At 39.8% G+C, this 19,410-nt stretch overlaps 1 protein-coding gene across 1 annotated transcript in view; it reads left to right on the top strand.

Moving 5' to 3' along the window:
- Positions 1-19,410, top strand: part of SVEP1 (sushi, von Willebrand factor type A, EGF and pentraxin domain containing 1) — a 214,494-nt gene that overhangs the window by 157,668 nt on the left and 37,416 nt on the right. The window contains exons 37-39 of the mRNA NM_153366.4: positions 10,339-11,011; positions 13,123-15,914; positions 17,522-17,747. Coding sequence (NP_699197.3) covers positions 10,339-11,011; positions 13,123-15,914; positions 17,522-17,747 — 3,691 coding nt within the window. The remainder of the gene's footprint in view (positions 1-10,338; positions 11,012-13,122; positions 15,915-17,521; positions 17,748-19,410) is intronic.

The raw sequence follows: 19,410 nt of genomic DNA, 5'->3' as shown, positions 1-19,410 counted from the left end.
ACATGAAGTCCTTGCCCACGCCTATGTCCTGAATGGTAATGCCTAGGTTTTCTTCTAGGGTTTTTATGGTTTTAGGTCTAACGTTTAAATCTTTAATCCATCTTGAATTGATTTTTGTATAAGGTGTAGGGAAGGGATCCAGTTTCAGCTTTCTACATATGGCTAGCCAGTTTTCCCAGCACCATTTATTAAATAGGGAATCCTTTCCCCATTGCTTGTTTTTCTCAGGTTTGTCAAAGATCAGATAGTTGTAGATATGCGGCATTATTTCTGAGGGCTCTGTTCTGTTCCATTGATCTATATCTCTGTTTTGGTACCAGTACCATGCTGTTTTGGTTACTGTAGCCTTGTAGTATAGTTTGAAGTCAGGTAGTGTGATGCCTCCAGCTTTGTTCTTTTGGCTTAGGATTGACTTGGCAATGTGGGCTCTTTTTTGGTTCCATATGAACTTTAAAGTAGTTTTTTCCAATTCTGTGAAGAAAGTCATTGGTAGCTTGATGGGGATGGCATTGAATCTGTAAATTACCTTGGGCAGTATGGCCATTTTCACGATATTGATTCTTCCTACCCATGAGCATGGAATGTTCTTCCATTTGTTTGTGTCCTCTTTTATTTCCTTGAGCAGTGGTTTGTAGTTCTCCTTGAAGAGGTCCTTCACATCCCTTGTAAGTTGGATTCCTAGGTATTTTATTCTCTTTGAAGCAATTGTGAATGGGAGTTCACCCATGATTTGGCTCTCTGTTTGTCTGTTGTTGGTGTATAAGAATGCTTGTGATTTTTGTACATTGATTTTGTATCCTGAGACTTTGCTGAAGTTGCTTATCAGCTTAAGGAGATTTTGGGCTGAGACGATGGGGTTTTCTAGATAAACAATCATGTCGTCTGCAAACAGGGACAATTTGACTTCCTCTTTTCCTAATTGAATACCCTTTATTTCCTTCTCCTGCCTGATTGCCCTGGCCAGAACTTCCAACACTATGTTGAATAGGAGTGGTGAGAGAGGGCATCCCTGTCTTGTGCCAGTTTTCAAAGGGAATGCTTCCAGTTTTTGCCCATTCAGTATGATATTGGCTGTGGGTTTGTCATAGATAGCTCTTATTATTTTGAAATACGTCCCATCAATACCTAATTTATTGAGAGTTTTTAGCATGAAGGGTTGTTGAATTTTGTCAAAGGCTTTTTCTGCATCTATTGAGATAATCATGTGGTTTTTGTCTTTGGCTCTGTTTATATGCTGGATTACATTTATTGATTTGCGTATATTGAACCAGCCTTGCATCCCAGGGATGAAGCCCACTTGATCATGGTGGATAAGCTTTTTGATGTGCTGCTGGATTCGGTTTGCCAGTATTTTATTGAGGATTTTTGCATCAATGTTCATCAAGGATATTGGTCTAAAATTCTCTTTTTTGGTTGTGTCTCTGCCCGGCTTTGGTATCAGAATGATGCTGGCCTCATAAAATGAGTTAGGGAGGATTCCCTCTTTTTCTATTGATTGGAATAGTTTCAGAAGGAATGGTACCAGTTCCTCCTTGTACCTCTGGTAGAATTCGGCTGTGAATCCATCTGGTCCTGGACTCTTTTTGGTTGGTAAACTATTGATTATTGCCACAATTTCAGAGCCTGTTATTGGTCTATTCAGAGATTCAACTTCTTCCTGGTTTAGTCTTGGGAGAGTGTATGTGTCGAGGAATGTATCCATTTCTTCTAGATTTTCTAGTTTATTTGCCTAGAGGTGTTTGTAGTATTCTCTGATGGTAGTTTGTATTTCTGTGGGATCGGTGGTGATATCCCCTTTATCATTTTTTATTGTGTCTATTTGATTCTTCTCTCTTTTTTTCTTTATTAGTCTTGCTAGCGGTCTATCAATTTTGTTGATCCTTTCAAAAAACCAGCTCCTGGATTCATTGATTTTTTGAAGAGTTTTTTGTGTCTCTATTTCCTTCAGTTCTGCTCTGATCTTAGTTATTTCTTGCCTTCTGCTAGCTTTTGAATGTGTTTGCTCTTGCTTTTCTAGTTCTTTTAATTGTGATGTTAGGGTGTCAATTTTGGATCTTTCCTGCTTTCTCTTGTAGGCATTTAGTGCTATAAATTTCCCTCTACACACTGCTTTGAATGCGTCCCAGAGATTCTGGTATGTGGTGTCTTTGTTCTCGTTGGTTTCAAAGAACATCTTTATTTCTGCCTTCATTTCGTTCTGTACCCAGTAGTCATTCAGGAGCAGGTTGTTCAGTTTCCATGTAGTTGAGCGGCTTTGAGTGAGATTTTTAATCCTGAGTTCTAGTTTGATTGCACTGTGGTCTGAGAGATAGTTTGTTATAATTTCTGTTCTTTTACATTTGCTGAGGAGAGCTTTACTTCCAACTATGTGGTCAATTTTGGAATAGGTGTGGTGTGGTGCTGAAAAAAATGTATATTCTGTTGATTTGGGGTGGAGAGTTCTGTAGATGTCTATTAGGTCTGCTTGGTGCAGAGCTGAGTTCAATTCCTGGGTATCCTTGTTGACTTTCTGTCTCGTTGATCTGTCTAATGTTGACAGTGGGGTGTTAAAGTCTCCCATTATTAATGTGTGGGAGTCTAAGTCTCTTTGTAGGTCACTGAGGACTTGCTTTATGAATCTGGGTGCTCCTGTATTGGGTGCATAAATATTTAGGATAGTTAGCTCCTCTTGTTGAATTGATCCCTTTATCATTATGTAATGGCCTTCTTTGTCTCTTTTGATCTTTGTTGGTTTAAAGTCTGTTTTATCAGAGACTAGGATTGCAACCTCTGCCTTTTTTTGTTTTCCATTGGCTTGGTAGATCTTCCTCCATCCTTTTATTTTGAGCCTATGTGTGTCTCTGCACGTGAGATGGGTTTCCTGAATACAGCACACTGATGGGTCTTGACTCTTTATCCAACTTGCCAGTCTGTGTCTTTTAATTGCAGAATTTAGTCCATTTATATTTAAAGTTAATATTGTTATGTGTGAATTTGATCCTGTCATTATGATGTTAGCTGGTGATTTTGCTCATTAGTTGATGCAGTTTCTTCCTAGTCTCGATGGTCTTTACATTTTGGCATGATTTTGCAGCGGCTGGTACCGGTTGTTCCTTTCCATGTTTAGCGCTTCCTTCAGGAGCTCTTTTAGGGCAGGCCTGGTGGTGACAAAATCTCTCAGCATTTGCTTGTCTATAAAGTATTTTATTTCTCCTTCACTTATGAAGCTTAGTTTGGCTGATACGAAATTCTGGGTTGAAAATTCTTTTCTTTAAGAATGTTGAATATTGGCCCCCACTCTCTTCTGGCTTGTAGGGTTTCTGCCGAGAGATCCGCTGTTAGTCTGATGGGCTTTCCTTTGAGGGTAACCCGACCTTTCTCTCTGGCTGCCCTTAACATTTTTTCCTTCATTTCAACTTTGGTGAATCTGACAATTATGTGTCTTGGAGTTGCTCTTCTCGAGGAGTATCTTTGTGGCATTCTCTGTATTTCCTGAATCTGAACGTTGGCCTGCCTTGCTAGATTGGGGAAGTTCTCCTGGATAATATCCTGCAGAGTGTTTTCCAACTTGGTTCCATTCTCCACATCACTTTCAGGTACACCAATCAGACGTAGATTTGGTCTTTTCACATAGTCCCATATTTCTTGGAGGCTTTGCTCATTTCTTTTTATTCTTTTTTCTCTAAACTTCCCTTCTCGCTTCATTTCATTCATTTCATCTTCCATTGCTGATACCCTTTCTTCCAGTTGATCGCATCGGCTCCTGAGGCTTCTGCATTCTTCACGTAGTTCTCGAGCCTTGGTTTTCAGCTCCATCAGCTCCTTTAAGCACTTCTCTGTATTGGTTATTCTAGTTATACATTCTTCTAAATTTTTTTCAAAGTTTTCAACTTCTTTGCCTTTGGTTTGAATGTCCTCCCGTAGCTCAGAGTAATTTGATCGTCTGAAGCCTTCTTCTCTCAGCTCGTCAAAATCATTCTCCATCCAGCTTTGTTCTGTTGCTGGTGAGGAACTGCGTTCCTTTGGAGGAGGAGAGGCGCTCTGCGTTTTAGAGTTTCCAGTTTTTCTGTTCTGTTTTTTCCCCATCTTTGTGGTTTTATCTACTTTTGGTCTTTGATGATGGTGATGTACAGATGGGTTTTCGGTGTAGATGTCCTTTCTGGTTGTTAGTTTTCCTTCTAACAGACAGGACCCTCAGCTGCAGGTCTGTTGGAATACCCTGCCGTGTTAGGTGTCAGTGTGCCCCTGCTGGGGGGTGCCTCCCAGTTAGGCTGCTCGGGGGTCAGGGGTCAGGGACCCACTTGAGGAGGCAGTCTGCCCGTTCTCAGATCTCCAGCTGCGTGCTGGGAGAACCACTGCTCTCTTCAAAGCTGTCAGACAGGGACACTTAAGTCTGCAGAGGTTACTGCTGTCTTTTTGTTTGTCTGTGCCCTGCCCCCAGAGGTGGAGCCTACAGAGGCAGGCAGGCCTCCTTGAGCTGTGGTGGGCTCCACCCAGTTCGAGCTTCCCGGCTGCTTTGTTTACCTAAGCAAGCCTGGGCAATGGCGGGCGCCCCTCCCCCAGCCTCGTTGCCGCCTTGCAGTTTGATCTCAGACTGCTGTGCTAGCAATCAGCGAGATTCCGTGGGCGTAGGACCCTCTGAGCCAGGTGTGGGATATAGTCTCGTGGTGCGCCGTTTCTTAAGCCGGTCTGAAAAGCGCAATATTCGGGTGGGAGTGACCCGATTTTCCAGGTGCGTCCGTCACCCCTTTCTTTGACTGGGAAAGGGAACTCCCTGACCCCTTGCGCTTCCCAGGTGAGGCAATGCCTCGCCCTGCTTCGGCTCGCGCACGGTGCGCACACACACTGGCCTGCGCCCACCGTCTGGCACTCCCTAGTGAGATGAACCCGGTACCTCAGATGGAAATGCAGAAATCACCCGTCTTCTGCGTCGCTCACGCTGGGAGCTGTAGACCGGAGCTGTTCCTATTCGGCCATCTTGGCTCCTCCTCCTCCAATTTTTCCATAAGTATTTTGAAGCTATTATTCCGTTGCCTTATGATTCTAATGTTGCTATTCAGAATTCCTTTATGAGTCTAATTTAGTGATCCTCAATCAAGGACAATATTGCCCTCCAAGGACATCTGGCAATGTCTGGAGACATTTTTGGTTGTCACAACTGGGGGGAAGATGCTACTAGCATCTAATAGTTAGAATCTAGGAAAAATGCTAAATATCCTACAATGTACAGAACAGTCCTCCACAACTAAGAAGTATCTGGTCCACAATGTCAGTAGTGCTGAAATTGAGAAACTCTGGTCAAATTCTTGTTGCTGTATAAGTAATATGTTTTCTCTTTGGTTACTTTTTAAAAACTTGTCTTTGTTGTTTTAGTGTTTTGCTATGAGATGACTATGGTGTATTTATTGTCATTCATCTTGTTTGGGACTCATTGTACTTCTTACATCTGAGAATTTATATCTTTCACCTATTTTAGAATATTCTCAGTCATTTTCACTGCAAATATTTTCTGTTTCTCACTTTCTCTTTTATATCTTTATGGATGTCTTACTAGATATATGTTGGGCCTTTTCATTCTATTTTTCATGTTAATTAATCTGTCACACTTTTCATCTCTTTCAAAACCTATTACATTTGGATAATTTCCTCATATATTTCTTCCAGTTCACTGATTTTTCTTCTAATATCTGTAGCCTGTTTTTGAATATGTCCATTGTTTTTAATTTTTATGTTCCACATTTTTATTTCCAGAATTTCTATTTATTTTTCAAACATTTTTTCATAGTCACTTTTAATAGAATTTTGAGTCTTTCTTTTGTCCTTATTTCAACATACTTATTTCATACTATTTTTTATATTTTAGAGCTTTTTTTCTATTATCTCACTTATTGGTGCTCTACCCTTGCAGTTTTTTCTGTCTGCCAACCCATTTGTGATGGAAAATATGTTTGTGTGTGTTATAAATTCAGATTGTGCCCTTATAGTAAACAGGGCTTGTTTTATCTATGGTAACCCCTTATTTTCTGAGTATGTAGATTTTTTTTCTACCAGGTGTTTCGGGAGTATCACCAGCCAAGAACCTAATTTTACATTAATTTATCAATTTGAAGATTTTCCATACAAAGTGAATGGTGTAAATTCTAAACTCCAATCCACATGAGGTACAGACTCCACTATTGCTATTTTAACTCCGAAGCTATATTTTCTATCCTCTCGACTTCCCTTCTTTGTCTAATCCAAGGTCAACCATAGCATCCATTCACAAGTTTACTTTTCTGTTTGTAATTTCCTCTTCATTTCTGGCACATGGAAATTTCCTTTCTTGTCAGCTCAGCTATGCATTTAAAATAATTTGTGTTGTAATTCGTCAAGTATTATAGAGGGAGGGTTTTCAGACTGTTGTAGAGCAGAACAAGAAGTCAGCACTCATCTTATCTCTCTTTACTTATTTTCTATTTCTTTTCCCCAAGGAGTTGATTGGCATAGATCTACATGCCCTGTGTCTTGTTCCAGTCAAGGATGGCATCGCTCTGTTCAAGTCATGGCCTTTGTAAAATATGACCTGTCTTACCGTCTTCTTCCACTTCTCAAGATGCTGCTGGCCTTATTAGTGTATTAAAGTTTATTTCCTTCTCCAGTCCCTCTTAACTGTCTCCTCCCTTGGGGCTGCCTAGCACAGACCATTGCCCTGCACACAATGTAAGCCTCCTGGGCCTTATATAAGCCACATGCTTACCATGTGTACATACACACATTTTTGCATCTGTCTCACCGAGTTTTCCTCCTATACTGGTGTTGTGCTTTTCATTGGCCTTTCCTTGAATTATAAGGGCAAGATCCACTCTTAAGCTTAGGACAAAAATGCAGAGACTTTAAGAGACTTAAGTGATATAATGAATGCCAGGGAAAGAAAGAAGCAAGAAGTCTCATTTCTGTGTCCTACCCTAAACTTGGCCTTCCAAATTCAACTTTTATCAAAACATTTATCTTTTTTAAACCTTTTATCAAAACCCTCAAACGTAGGGGGTTTTCAGTTGTTTGCTCAAATACGTAAGTGGTCATTTGTTTCTCATTTTCCTTTTCATGCTCATGTTTATACTCCTTGGTGAGAAACGCAGAGGGAAGAAAGGGTTATTGCCACCCTAAAATCCTAATTAAATTTTTCCTTTTGATTCTTCTCAGATATAAACTTCTAAATGCAATTATTAGATATGTTCAGACAAAAATCTTTATGATTGAAAACATAATTATTGATGCTGATTTATGCTTCCTGTTGTTCTTATTAAATTGCAGCCGTTTAAATATCTAGTAGGCTGCTCTTTTAAGGCTTTTTTGCTAAGACAGAAGAGCTAATAATGCATTTGGGAGCTCTGTCATAAAGCTCTCCAGGCACATGCTCATTAGTAAGCTTCTACCCAGTGTGTCAATCAAATCATTGCAAATTGCATCTGAAAATTATTCTGCCCATTTTCAAAGGATTTTTTGTTACGATTCCAGAAAAATGCAAATTTGTTCCAGCCAGTTTATCCTAAGATGTGTTCTTCTAAAGCATCACTGTGATATTGATAGGCTATTATTCCAAGCTAAGTTCAGATCTTCATACAAAGAACTGAGCCTATCTAAAGCAACGAAATGCAGCAGGCCCTAACTGGGGGCTGTACTCAACTATTGGGAATGTCTGAGTATTCATTTTGAGACCACTTCCATCCATAGCATGATGTGTGAACTTAGGTAAGGTGGCTGCATATAGCTCTGCTGATACACTGTTATTTTTTTCCTGATTTCTCTGTCTCTTATAGATTTCATAAATATTGTCAGTTAGGATGAAGGAATTTCAACCTCTCTATAATAGCTGATGCTTTATAAAACTAAAAGAGATCTCAGGAGAAATATTTGATAACTAATGAATTAATCTTTGCTAATGGGTGGGTCAAATAATTTGTATTAGTGACACTGCAATACAGTTTGCCCAGGACACCCAGAAAGTATGATCTAACCTTCTTCACTTTCAAAACAGAGAGACAGAGAGCAGTGTTATGGAAAAGGTGTAGGTGTTGGAAACTGATCAACCAAATTCTGATCCCAATTCTGCTGCTTACAGCTGTGTGACTTCAGGCAAGTTTCTAAGCCTGTCTGAACCACCATTCACTTTATTTCCTTACAATGAAGAAATCATTACATCTAAGCAGGATTAAACTAGGTACTCAATTATTTTATTTCCCTTACCCTTCATTAGTAGCAAAATGACAGGCTAATCAGGTATTAGAGATTTTTTCAAAACTCCATCAATTTTCTGTTCAGTAAGAGATCAGTGATGAAAATAAGCATGACTCAAATATAATTATTCTAATACTGTATATCCTAATCTTTTGTTCTATCTCATTGACAGAACACTTGAGAGTAATTTTAGATTTTTGTAAGTCATCAATCCATCATTATATGTGGGCCAACATCTGTGCATAACGACTGGGAATTACTAAGAAAAATTTATTCATACTGATTGAATAGCAGAGCCATATGCAGAAGACACCTTTTATTTTATTTTATTTTATTATTATACTTTAAGTTTTAGGGTACATGTGCACATTGTGCAGGTTAGTTACATATGTATACATGTGCCATGCTGGTGCACTGCACCCACTAACTCGTCATCTAGCATTAGGTATATCTCCCAAAGCTATCCCTCCCCCCTCCCCCCACCCCACAACAGTCCCCAGAGTGTGATGCTCCCCTTCCTGTGTCCATGTGATCTCATTGTTCAATTCCCACCTATAAGTGAGAATATGCGGTGTTTGGTTTTTTGTTCTTGTGATAGTTTACTGAGAATGATGATTTCCAATTTCATCCATGTCCCTACAAAGGACATGAACTCATCATTTTTTATGGCTGCATAGTATTCCATGGTGTATATGTGCCACATTTTCTTAATCCAGTCTATCATTGTTGGACATTTGGGTTGGTTCCAAGTCTTTGCTATTGTGAATAGTGCCGCAATAAACATACGTGTGCATGTGTCTTTATAGCAGCATGATTTATAGTCCTTTGGGTATATACCCAGTAATGGGATTGCTGGGTCAAATGGTATTTCTAGTTCTAGATCCCTGAGGAATTGCCACACTGACTTCCACAATGGTTGAACTAGTTTACAGTCCCACCAACAGTGTAAAAGTGTTCCTATTTCTCCACATCCTCTCCAGCACCTGTTGTTTCCTGACTTTTTAATGATTGCCATTCTAACTGCCGTGAGATGGTATCTCATTGTGGTTTTGATTTGCATTCCTCTGATGGCCAGTGATGATGAGCATTTCTTCATGTGTTTTTTGGCTGCATAAATGTCTTCTTTTGAGAAGTGTCTGTTCATGTCCTTTGCCCACTTTTTGATGGGGTTTGTTTTTTCTTGTAAATTTGTTTAAGTTCATTGTAGATTCTGGATATTAGCCCTTTGTCAGATGAGTAGGTTGTGAAAATTTTCTCCCATTTTGTAGGTTGCCTGTTCACTCTGATGGTAGTTTCTTTTGCTGTGCAGAAGCTCTTTAGTTTAATTAGATCCCATTTGTCAATTTTGTCTTTTGTTGCCATTGCTTTTGGTGTTTTAGACATGAAGTCCTTGCCCATGCCTATGTCCTGAATGGTATTGCCTAGGTTTTCTTCTAGGGTTTTTATGGTTTTAGGTTTAACGTTTAAGTCTTTAATCCATCTTGAATTGACACCTTTCAACTCTAGCCACATGGGGTAAAGGCTTAGGAGACATTGGAGACTGAAATTATAATCACTGTTTTAAAGTTCTCTAGGTGTCAGTACATAACAATGAGCTATATGTAGGCTAAATATGGCATTGTACATTGTAGCTTAAGAACAAACAATAAAGACAAATGCCAAAATCAAGTTAAAACCATCTAAAGGCAGATAGAATTCCATATTTGAGTCAAATAGCACTATACAGCTTACTCCTTGATTTTATTTTTTAAATGTATAGCAATTATTAGAGTTCCTTAAGTAGCAAAAAAATCTTAAATCCATTTCCCTTTCTGAGCAAATATTAATATCACAATGTATTGATATATCTCAAATGCAAGTCATTTGATCAATAAGCTCAATATTCAAAGAGTCAATATTATTTTAAAGATAAAGTCGTTGGGAAGATTTAAATACATGTTTCTGAACAAACAATATCACAATGTATTGACATATCTCAAGTGAAAGTCATTTGATCAATAAGCTCAGTATTCAAAGAGGAAATATTATTTTAAAGATAAATTTAAAGTCATTGTGGGAAAGATTTAAAAAATAGAAGAAGACACAAACACTTTTTCTCAAATATTATGCTTAGTTATTCTTTCTTTCTTCCCAACCTCACAGCTATACTCTTGCTGGTCTTGACACCATTGAATGCCTGGCCGACGGCAAGTGGAGTAGAAGTGACCAGCAGTGCCTGGCTGTCTCCTGTGATGAGCCACCCATTGTGGACCACGCCTCTCCAGAGACTGCCCATCGGCTCTTTGGAGACATTGCATTCTACTACTGCTCTGATGGTTACAGCCTAGCAGACAATTCCCAGCTTCTCTGCAATGCCCAGGGCAAGTGGGTACCCCCAGAAGGTCAAGACATGCCCCGTTGTATAGCTCATTTCTGTGAAAAACCTCCATCGGTTTCCTATAGCATCTTGGAATCTGTGAGCAAAGCAAAATTTGCAGCTGGCTCAGTTGTGAGCTTTAAATGCATGGAAGGCTTTGTACTGAACACCTCAGCAAAGATTGAATGTATGAGAGGTGGGCAGTGGAACCCTTCCCCCATGTCCATCCAGTGCATCCCTGTGCGGTGTGGAGAGCCACCAAGCATCATGAATGGCTATGCAAGTGGATCAAACTACAGTTTTGGAGCCATGGTGGCTTACAGCTGCAACAAGGGGTTCTACATCAAAGGGGAAAAGAAGAGCACCTGCGAAGCCACAGGGCAGTGGAGTAGTCCTATACCGACGTGCCACCCGGTATCTTGTGGTGAACCACCTAAGGTTGAGAATGGCTTTCTGGAGGTAAGAGACCAATTAGCAAATGGTCTGTGGCTTTTGTCACAGGGCCCATAATAAATAAATAAACAAAACAAATAATTGAGTCCAAACACTGCCAAGTTCACTAAGGCATGGAAACTGGAATTTACTATTATCACTAACAAAGAATCATGATAATCTTTTTAACATTTTCATAATTAATTCATCTCTTGATGAATTAATTCATCTGCCTAAGGTTGTGAATCACTTTCTGGAGGTAAGAGACTAATTAGCAAATGCTCTGTGGCTTTCATCACTTACAGGGCCAGCCCACTGTGATGAACCCACTATTCAGAAGCGGGGCAATGAACAAATTAATTATTGAAAAACAGAAATGGCTAAAATCTACAGGTAGTGAAGACTGGAAAAAAAATTAATGAAGATGATTATGAATCTTTAGTATATAACTTTCTGCATTTTACTAGTGTATAGGCATTTCAAGTGCTTTGTGGCAACAGCTTAGCCCTAAATAGGAAGTTAGAATAAACCAATTTTAATATAATATTTTGTTTTACAGAGGTTTTTCAGGATGGATATATGCTTTATTTTATAGAAGGCAAGGTCTAAATGGAACCTAGAGAAATATATTATAATTTTAAATGCTTAGACAAAAGATAGGGTAAACCAAATAATGTAGTTTTTACAATTCTGTTTTGGTAAACCTAAAGGTAATTTCACTGTGATGGACAAAAGAGTTCAGTCCAACCCAAATATGTCCTGCTTTCACGCTAATGTGTGTCTTCTCAATAAGCCTACCAAGAAAATAGGAATGAGAATCTATTCCCCCAAATCAAGGGCCATTTGAAATTGACCATATTCTAATTAAACACTTTTTTAAAACCCACATATATACACAGTACAACCTTTTCTCCTTTACATTCAAAATAACAAAACAGTAAAAGCCTTTTATTTAAGGCTTTTGCTTAGATTTAGTAGCTTTTCATTGGAAGAGGGTACAGAGTATAAGTAGAGAGGTGTTCATTTATTAATTGGAAGAGGGTATAGAGTATAAGTAGAGAGGTGTTCATTTATAAATTTAATAAATATTTCTAGAGCTCCTGCTTGGCACCAGGTACAGTTCTGAGAATCAGCGACCTAGCATTTAACAACACAGATTAGATGTGTAATGGCATGGTGCTTACATGCATGGGAGACACACAAGCAATGCATAAACAAAATGAGTAATTTTGTTTATTTGTTTATGACCTGTTATATTACATGTGTTTGAATTTTGAGATCACGAATATTAATTTTTTGTTTTAAAAGATAGGATATTATTTTCTATTGTTACAGCAGTAATTTTTAAGAAATATGTTAATATAAACAAAATTTTGATAGTATTCTTAAGACATACCCATAAAAACATTTTATTTGACTATTTATGATCTAACAACATTAACAAATACATGTTAATTGTTTATGTGCTTCTTTACTAGCATTTCTTTGGGCAGAAAGTTTTTTTGAACTGAGTAATTTATCATTTTTAGCGTTGCCTCATCAGTTCACCAATCAATATATAGATTACTGATCTTTTACTTGTTATGGGCTCAAAACTGTAGTAAGGATTTCTGCAGTGGGGATTACTTAATTTGATTTTCTTTTTTTCTTTCTTTTCTTTCTTCCCTTTAGACAGAGTCTTGCTCTGTCTCCCAGGCTGGAGTGCAGTGGCACAATCTCAGCTCACTGCAACCTCTGCCTCCTGGGTTCAAGTGATTCTCCTGCCTCAGCTTCCCAAATGGCTGAGATTACAGGCACATACCACCATGCCTAGCTAATTTTTGTACAGGTTTCACCATGTTGGCCAGGCTGGTCTCGAACTCCTAACCTCAAGTGTTCCTCCTGCCTCGGCCTCCCAAAGTGCTGGGATTGTAGGCATGAATCGTCATGCCGAGCCTAAGTTGACTTTCTACTATCATTTTCACTTATTTAAAAAAATAGAATGGATCTATTGGAAAAACCATAAATCATTATTTGCTTACTTCCTAATTGATTCATTTTAACATAGACCTTTTAGTTTTTTTCACTATCCAAGGATTTAGTTAATGCTATCATCTGTTATACAAATCGCACTCACTTGCTTTCTTCCTGTTGCACAGCATACAACTGGCAGGATCTTTGAGAGTGAAGTGAGGTATCAGTGTAACCCGGGCTATAAGTCAGTCGGAAGTCCTGTATTTGTCTGCCAAGCCAATCGCCACTGGCACAGTGAATCCCCTCTGATGTGTGTTCCTCTCGACTGTGGAAAACCTCCCCCGATCCAGAATGGCTTCATGAAAGGAGAAAACTTTGAAGTAGGGTCCAAGGTTCAGTTTTTCTGTAATGAGGGTTATGAGCTTGTTGGTGACAGTTCTTGGACATGTCAGAAATCTGGCAAATGGAATAAGAAGTCAAATCCAAAGTGCATGCCTGCCAAGTGCCCAGAGCCGCCCCTCTTGGAAAACCAGCTAGTATTAAAGGAGTTGACCACCGAGGTAGGAGTTGTGACATTTTCCTGTAAAGAAGGGCATGTCCTGCAAGGCCCCTCTGTCCTGAAATGCTTGCCATCCCAGCAATGGAATGACTCTTTCCCTGTTTGTAAGATTGTTCTTTGTACCCCACCTCCCCTAATTTCCTTTGGTGTCCCCATTCCTTCTTCTGCTCTTCATTTTGGAAGTACTGTCAAGTATTCTTGTGTAGGTGGGTTTTTCCTAAGAGGAAATTCTACCACCCTCTGCCAACCTGATGGCACCTGGAGCTCTCCACTGCCAGAATGTGTTCCAGTAGAATGTCCCCAACCTGAGGAAATCCCCAATGGAATCATTGATGTGCAAGGCCTTGCCTATCTCAGCACAGCTCTCTATACCTGCAAGCCAGGCTTTGAATTGGTGGGAAATACTACCACCCTTTGTGGAGAAAATGGTCACTGGCTTGGAGGAAAACCAACATGTAAAGCCATTGAGTGCCTGAAACCCAAGGAGATTTTGAATGGCAAATTCTCTTACACGGACCTACACTATGGACAGACCGTTACCTACTCTTGCAACCGAGGCTTTCGGCTCGAAGGTCCCAGTGCCTTGACCTGTTTAGAGACAGGTGATTGGGATGTAGATGCCCCATCTTGCAATGCCATCCACTGTGATTCCCCACAACCCATTGAAAATGGTTTTGTAGAAGGTGCAGATTACAGCTATGGTGCCATAATCATCTACAGTTGCTTCCCTGGGTTTCAGGTGGCTGGTCATGCCATGCAGACCTGTGAAGAGTCAGGATGGTCAAGTTCCATCCCAACATGTATGCCAATAGACTGTGGCCTCCCTCCTCATATAGATTTTGGAGACTGTACTAAACTCAAAGATGACCAGGGATATTTTGAGCAAGAAGACGACATGATGGAAGTTCCATATGTGACTCCTCACCCTCCTTATCATTTGGGAGCAGTGGCTAAAACCTGGGAAAATACAAAGGAGTCTCCTGCTACACATTCATCAAACTTTCTGTATGGTACCATGGTTTCATACACCTGTAATCCAGGATATGAACTTCTGGGGAACCCTGTGCTGATCTGCCAGGAAGATGGAACTTGGAATGGCAGTGCACCATCCTGCATTTCAATTGAATGTGACTTGCCTACTGCTCCTGAAAATGGCTTTTTGCGTTTTACAGAGACTAGCATGGGAAGTGCTGTGCAGTATAGCTGTAAACCTGGACACATTCTAGCAGGCTCTGACTTAAGGCTTTGTCTAGAGAATAGAAAGTGGAGTGGTGCCTCCCCACGCTGTGAAGCCATTTCATGCAAAAAGCCAAATCCAGTCATGAATGGATCCATCAAAGGAAGCAACTACACATACCTGAGCACGTTGTACTATGAGTGTGACCCCGGATATGTGCTGAATGGCACTGAGAGGAGAACATGCCAGGATGACAAAAACTGGGATGAGGATGAGCCCATTTGCATTCCTGTGGACTGCAGTTCACCCCCAGTCTCAGCCAATGGCCAGGTGAGAGGAGACGAGTACACATTCCAAAAAGAGATTGAATACACTTGCAATGAAGGGTTCTTGCTTGAGGGAGCCAGGAGTCGGGTTTGTCTTGCCAATGGAAGTTGGAGTGGAGCCACTCCCGACTGTGTGCCTGTCAGATGTGCCACCCCGCCACAACTGGCCAATGGGGTGACGGAAGGCCTGGACTATGGCTTCATGAAGGAAGTAACATTCCACTGTCACGAGGGCTACATCTTGCACGGTGCTCCAAAACTCACCTGTCAGTCAGATGGCAACTGGGATGCAGAGATTCCTCTCTGTAAACCAGTCAACTGTGGACCTCCTGAAGATCTTGCCCATGGTTTCCCTAATGGTTTTTCCTTTATTCATGGGGGCCATATACAGTATCAGTGCTTTCCTGGTTATAAGCTCCATGGAAATTCATCAAGAAGGTGCCTCTCCAATGGCTCCTGGAGTGGCAGCTCACCTTCCTGCCTGCCTTGCAGATGTTCCACACCAGTAATTGAATATGGAACTGTCAATGGGACAGATTTTGACTGTGGAAAGGCAGCCCGGATTCAGTGCTTCAAAGGCTTCAAGCTCCTAGGACTTTCTGAAATCACCTGTGAAGCCGATGGCCAGTGGAGCTCTGGGTTCCCCCACTGTGAACACACTTCTTGTGGTTCTCTTCCAATGATACCAAATGCGTTCATCAGTGAGACCAGCTCTTGGAAGGAAAATGTGATAACTTACAGCTGCAGGTCTGGATATGTCATACAAGGCAGTTCAGATCTGATTTGTACAGAGAAAGGGGTATGGAGCCAGCCTTATCCAGTCTGTGAGCCCTTGTCCTGTGGGTCCCCACCGTCTGTCGCCAATGCAGTGGCAACTGGAGAGGCACACACCTATGAAAGTGAAGTGAAACTCAGGTAAGATCATGGCTCTAGGGTCTCCAAGGGGTGCGGGCAGGATTATGAAATGAAATGTGATCGATCAAAAATTTTGCTGATTGGGAAGAAAACATCATCTCTGAACTGCTCTCCAAACACTGGTGCTTTTAACACTTGGCTTTATTCTACCTACAATTATGTAGAAATCCACTGAGTATAAAAATAAATCGATACTTTTTTCAGACATGTTTCTAATATAATTATCATGACTATCATATTCTGTTGAGCTTCGTGAAACAAACAGCAAGATCCTCTAGCTAGCTTGAAAAGCTCCGGAATCGTGAAGCTGTTTTTTAAACATCAGGATAGTAAATTTCTTTATGATTATAACTTTGTGATTATATTGACACATGCAAATATTGGGGACATAAGGCAAAAAACTGAAGAATTCAGGCCATGATCATGCCAAATAATCAGGATTAAAAGAAATATCTTATGTAAAGGACCTAGAGCAGCACTTGGCACAAAGTAGGTATTCATAATACATATGAATTATGCTGTATTCCTACTAGTATCTGAGTCCATGTAGGTATTCATAATACATATGAATTATGCTGTATTCCTACTAGTATCTGAGTCCACGTAGGTATTCATAATACATATTAATTATGCTGTATTCCTACTAGTATCTGAGTCCACGTAGGTATTCATAATACATATGAATTATGCTGTATTCCTACTAGTATCTGAGTCCACGTAGGTATTCATAATACAAATGAATTATGCTGTATTCCTACTAGTATCTGAGTCCATGTAGGTATTCATAATACATATGAATTATGCTGTATTCCTACTAGTATCTGAGTCCATGTAGGTATTCATAATACATATGAATTATGCTGTATTCCTACTAGTATCTGAGTCCATGTAGGTATTCATAATACATATTAATTATGCTGTATTCCTACTAGTATCTGAGTCCATTTTGGACTGTCTAGAATTTCCTGAACTGTTAGCTGTTTATAGAATAAAAATGAATTCAATAATAATAATATCCACAATAAGGTAAATAACATCAAAAACACTTAAAGTAATTTTAGTCTTGATTAACTTTTCATGTGGATAACTGAGAACTGATCTGGTTATTACCGGTTTTTTGTTTTTTGGTTTTTTGAGACAACGTCTTGCTCTGTCACCCAGGCTGGAGTGCAGTGGCATGTTCTTGGCTCACTGCAGCCTCAACCTCCTTAGTTCAAGCAGTCCTCCCACCTCTGCCTCCCAAGTAGCTGAGACTACAGGCATGTGCCACCGTGCCCAGCTAATTTTGTTTATTTTTTATAGAGATGAAGTCTCACTATGTTTCCCAGCCTAGTCTCAAGCTCCTGGACTCAAGTGGTCCTCCTGCCTCAGCCTTCCAAAGTGCAGGGATTACAGGCATGAGCCACCGCACCCAGCTCAACTGGTTGTTATTGTTATGTTGGTGTTTTTGCATGGCAATGCCATCCGCCTGACATATTGATTGTGCAACAATCAATATGTTGCACAAAATATCTACTGAGCCTTGTAACAGCTTCCTAAATCCAAGGATAGATCAGAAACTATATTGTACTTCATTTAAGGCACTCATTTTTGCATTTCCATTGCAGATGTCTGGAAGGTTATACGATGGATACAGATACAGATACATTCACCTGTCAGAAAGATGGTCGCTGGTTCCCTGAGAGAATCTCCTGCAGTCCTAAAAAATGTCCTCTCCCGGAAAACATAACACATATACTTGTACATGGGGACGATTTCAGTGTGAATAGGCAAGTTTCTGTGTCATGTGCAGAAGGGTATACCTTTGAGGGAGTTAACATATCAGTATGTCAGGTAAGATTCTGTCTTAATTAGAATGTGTAATGCCTACATATACATATATTGCCAAGCAAGCAGTATCTATAATAGTAATCCCAAAAAGAAAAAAAAGTCTGAAGTTTTCACTCATTTCAAAGGATTTGAAAAGTTTCTTGGTAGAAAATATAGTAAAATGTATCTTTTTTCTGCAGTATTCCCACTTTAAACTAAGAAAGTGCCAGGGTTAGGTAAAATATTAAGATTTCTATAACAAGATATTTATAACAAATTAACCACAAATCTTATTAAAAGAGGGTCCTTGTGTAGAAATCAGCCATGGGCTATGCCCAATATGTTTCCAGTTTTAGTGGAAAGACAAAAGTTTGCAGAAGCAGACAGATAATTGGTGTCAAATCCTCTTCTCTGCTATTTGCTGCTTGTAAGCAGTAGAGAAAGTTGCTTAAAATTTCTGAACTTTGGTTTCCTTATTTGTAAAAAAAAAAAAAAAAGTGTATTATTACACGTATCTTGTATTGTTGGTGAGAAATGAGATAAATAATGGAGGAAAGTGCCTGCTTCTACAACCTTGGTCTTTCCACTAAATCTAGAAACATATTGGGCATAACCCATGGCTGATTTCTATGCATAGACATTCTTTTGCACATAAGATTTATGATTAATTTGTCATGAAATCTTATTATAGATATTTTCACATTTTTTTTACCTAATTTTGGCACTTTTAGTTTGAAAATGGGAATCGGGCCGGGCACGGTGGCTCACGCCTGTAATCCCAGCACTTTGGGAGGCCGAGGTGGATGGATCACAAGGTCAAGAGATTGAGACCATCCTGGACAACACAGTGAAACCCCGTCTCTACTAAAAATACAAAAATTAGCCGGGCATAGTGGCGCATGCCTATAGTCCCAGCTACTCGGGAGGCTGAGACAGGAGAATTGCTTGAACCCAGGATGCGGAGGTTGCAGTGAACCGAGATTGCGCCACTGCACTCCAGCCTGGCAACAGAGCAATACTCCGTGTCAAAAAAAAAAAAAAAAAAAAAAAAAAACGGCGGTGGCGGGGAAGGAATCATCACCGTAGACAGCAGACTTTCCTAGCCCATCCCCTTCTCCTAACTTCCATAAGATATACCAGGAGAAGAAAAAATGTGTCACTGATAGACTCTTGCTGGAGTTGGGGTTGGTGTCAGGGGATTAAAAGCAGAGGAATGTGGCAGAGTATAGCAGACTTTCACTTCAAGCATACTTTTTTGTTTAAATTCCATCTCAAATATTTGTAGGTTCTATGACCTTATATTCCTTCAGCTTATTTTTTTATTTGTAAATCTGTGATAATTGAAAGGATTAAATTACCTAATGTGATATAAAATTGCTAGTACTTGCCTGACATATAGTAGGGACTCAAGAACCATTCCCTTCTCCCAGTTTTCCATTTATAAATCATGCATACTCAATGATTGGTCAATGTCAAACCTAAAAGCAGAAACATTAGGGGGAACAAGTTAAATAATTGCCAAATTATTAACTTGCCTTCAAATTTTGTATGGTTCCAGATGGTCCCTTTTAGATATAGAGCTGAAGAAGTTTTAGAGGAAACTTTGTCTAAGACTCTGAGCTGTCTGACAGAGTTCTGCCATAATTAAGGGAATCAAATTGTTGTTCTCCAGGTTGGGTGTGTAGAC

The sequence above is a fragment of the Homo sapiens genome, chromosome 9 (genome assembly GCF_000001405.40).
Source record: "Homo sapiens chromosome 9, GRCh38.p14 Primary Assembly".
NCBI classification, from domain to species: Eukaryota; Metazoa; Chordata; class Mammalia; order Primates; family Hominidae; genus Homo; species Homo sapiens.
The sequence above is the reverse complement of the archived record's forward strand: the minus strand, read 5'-3'. Positions and strand labels throughout refer to the sequence as shown.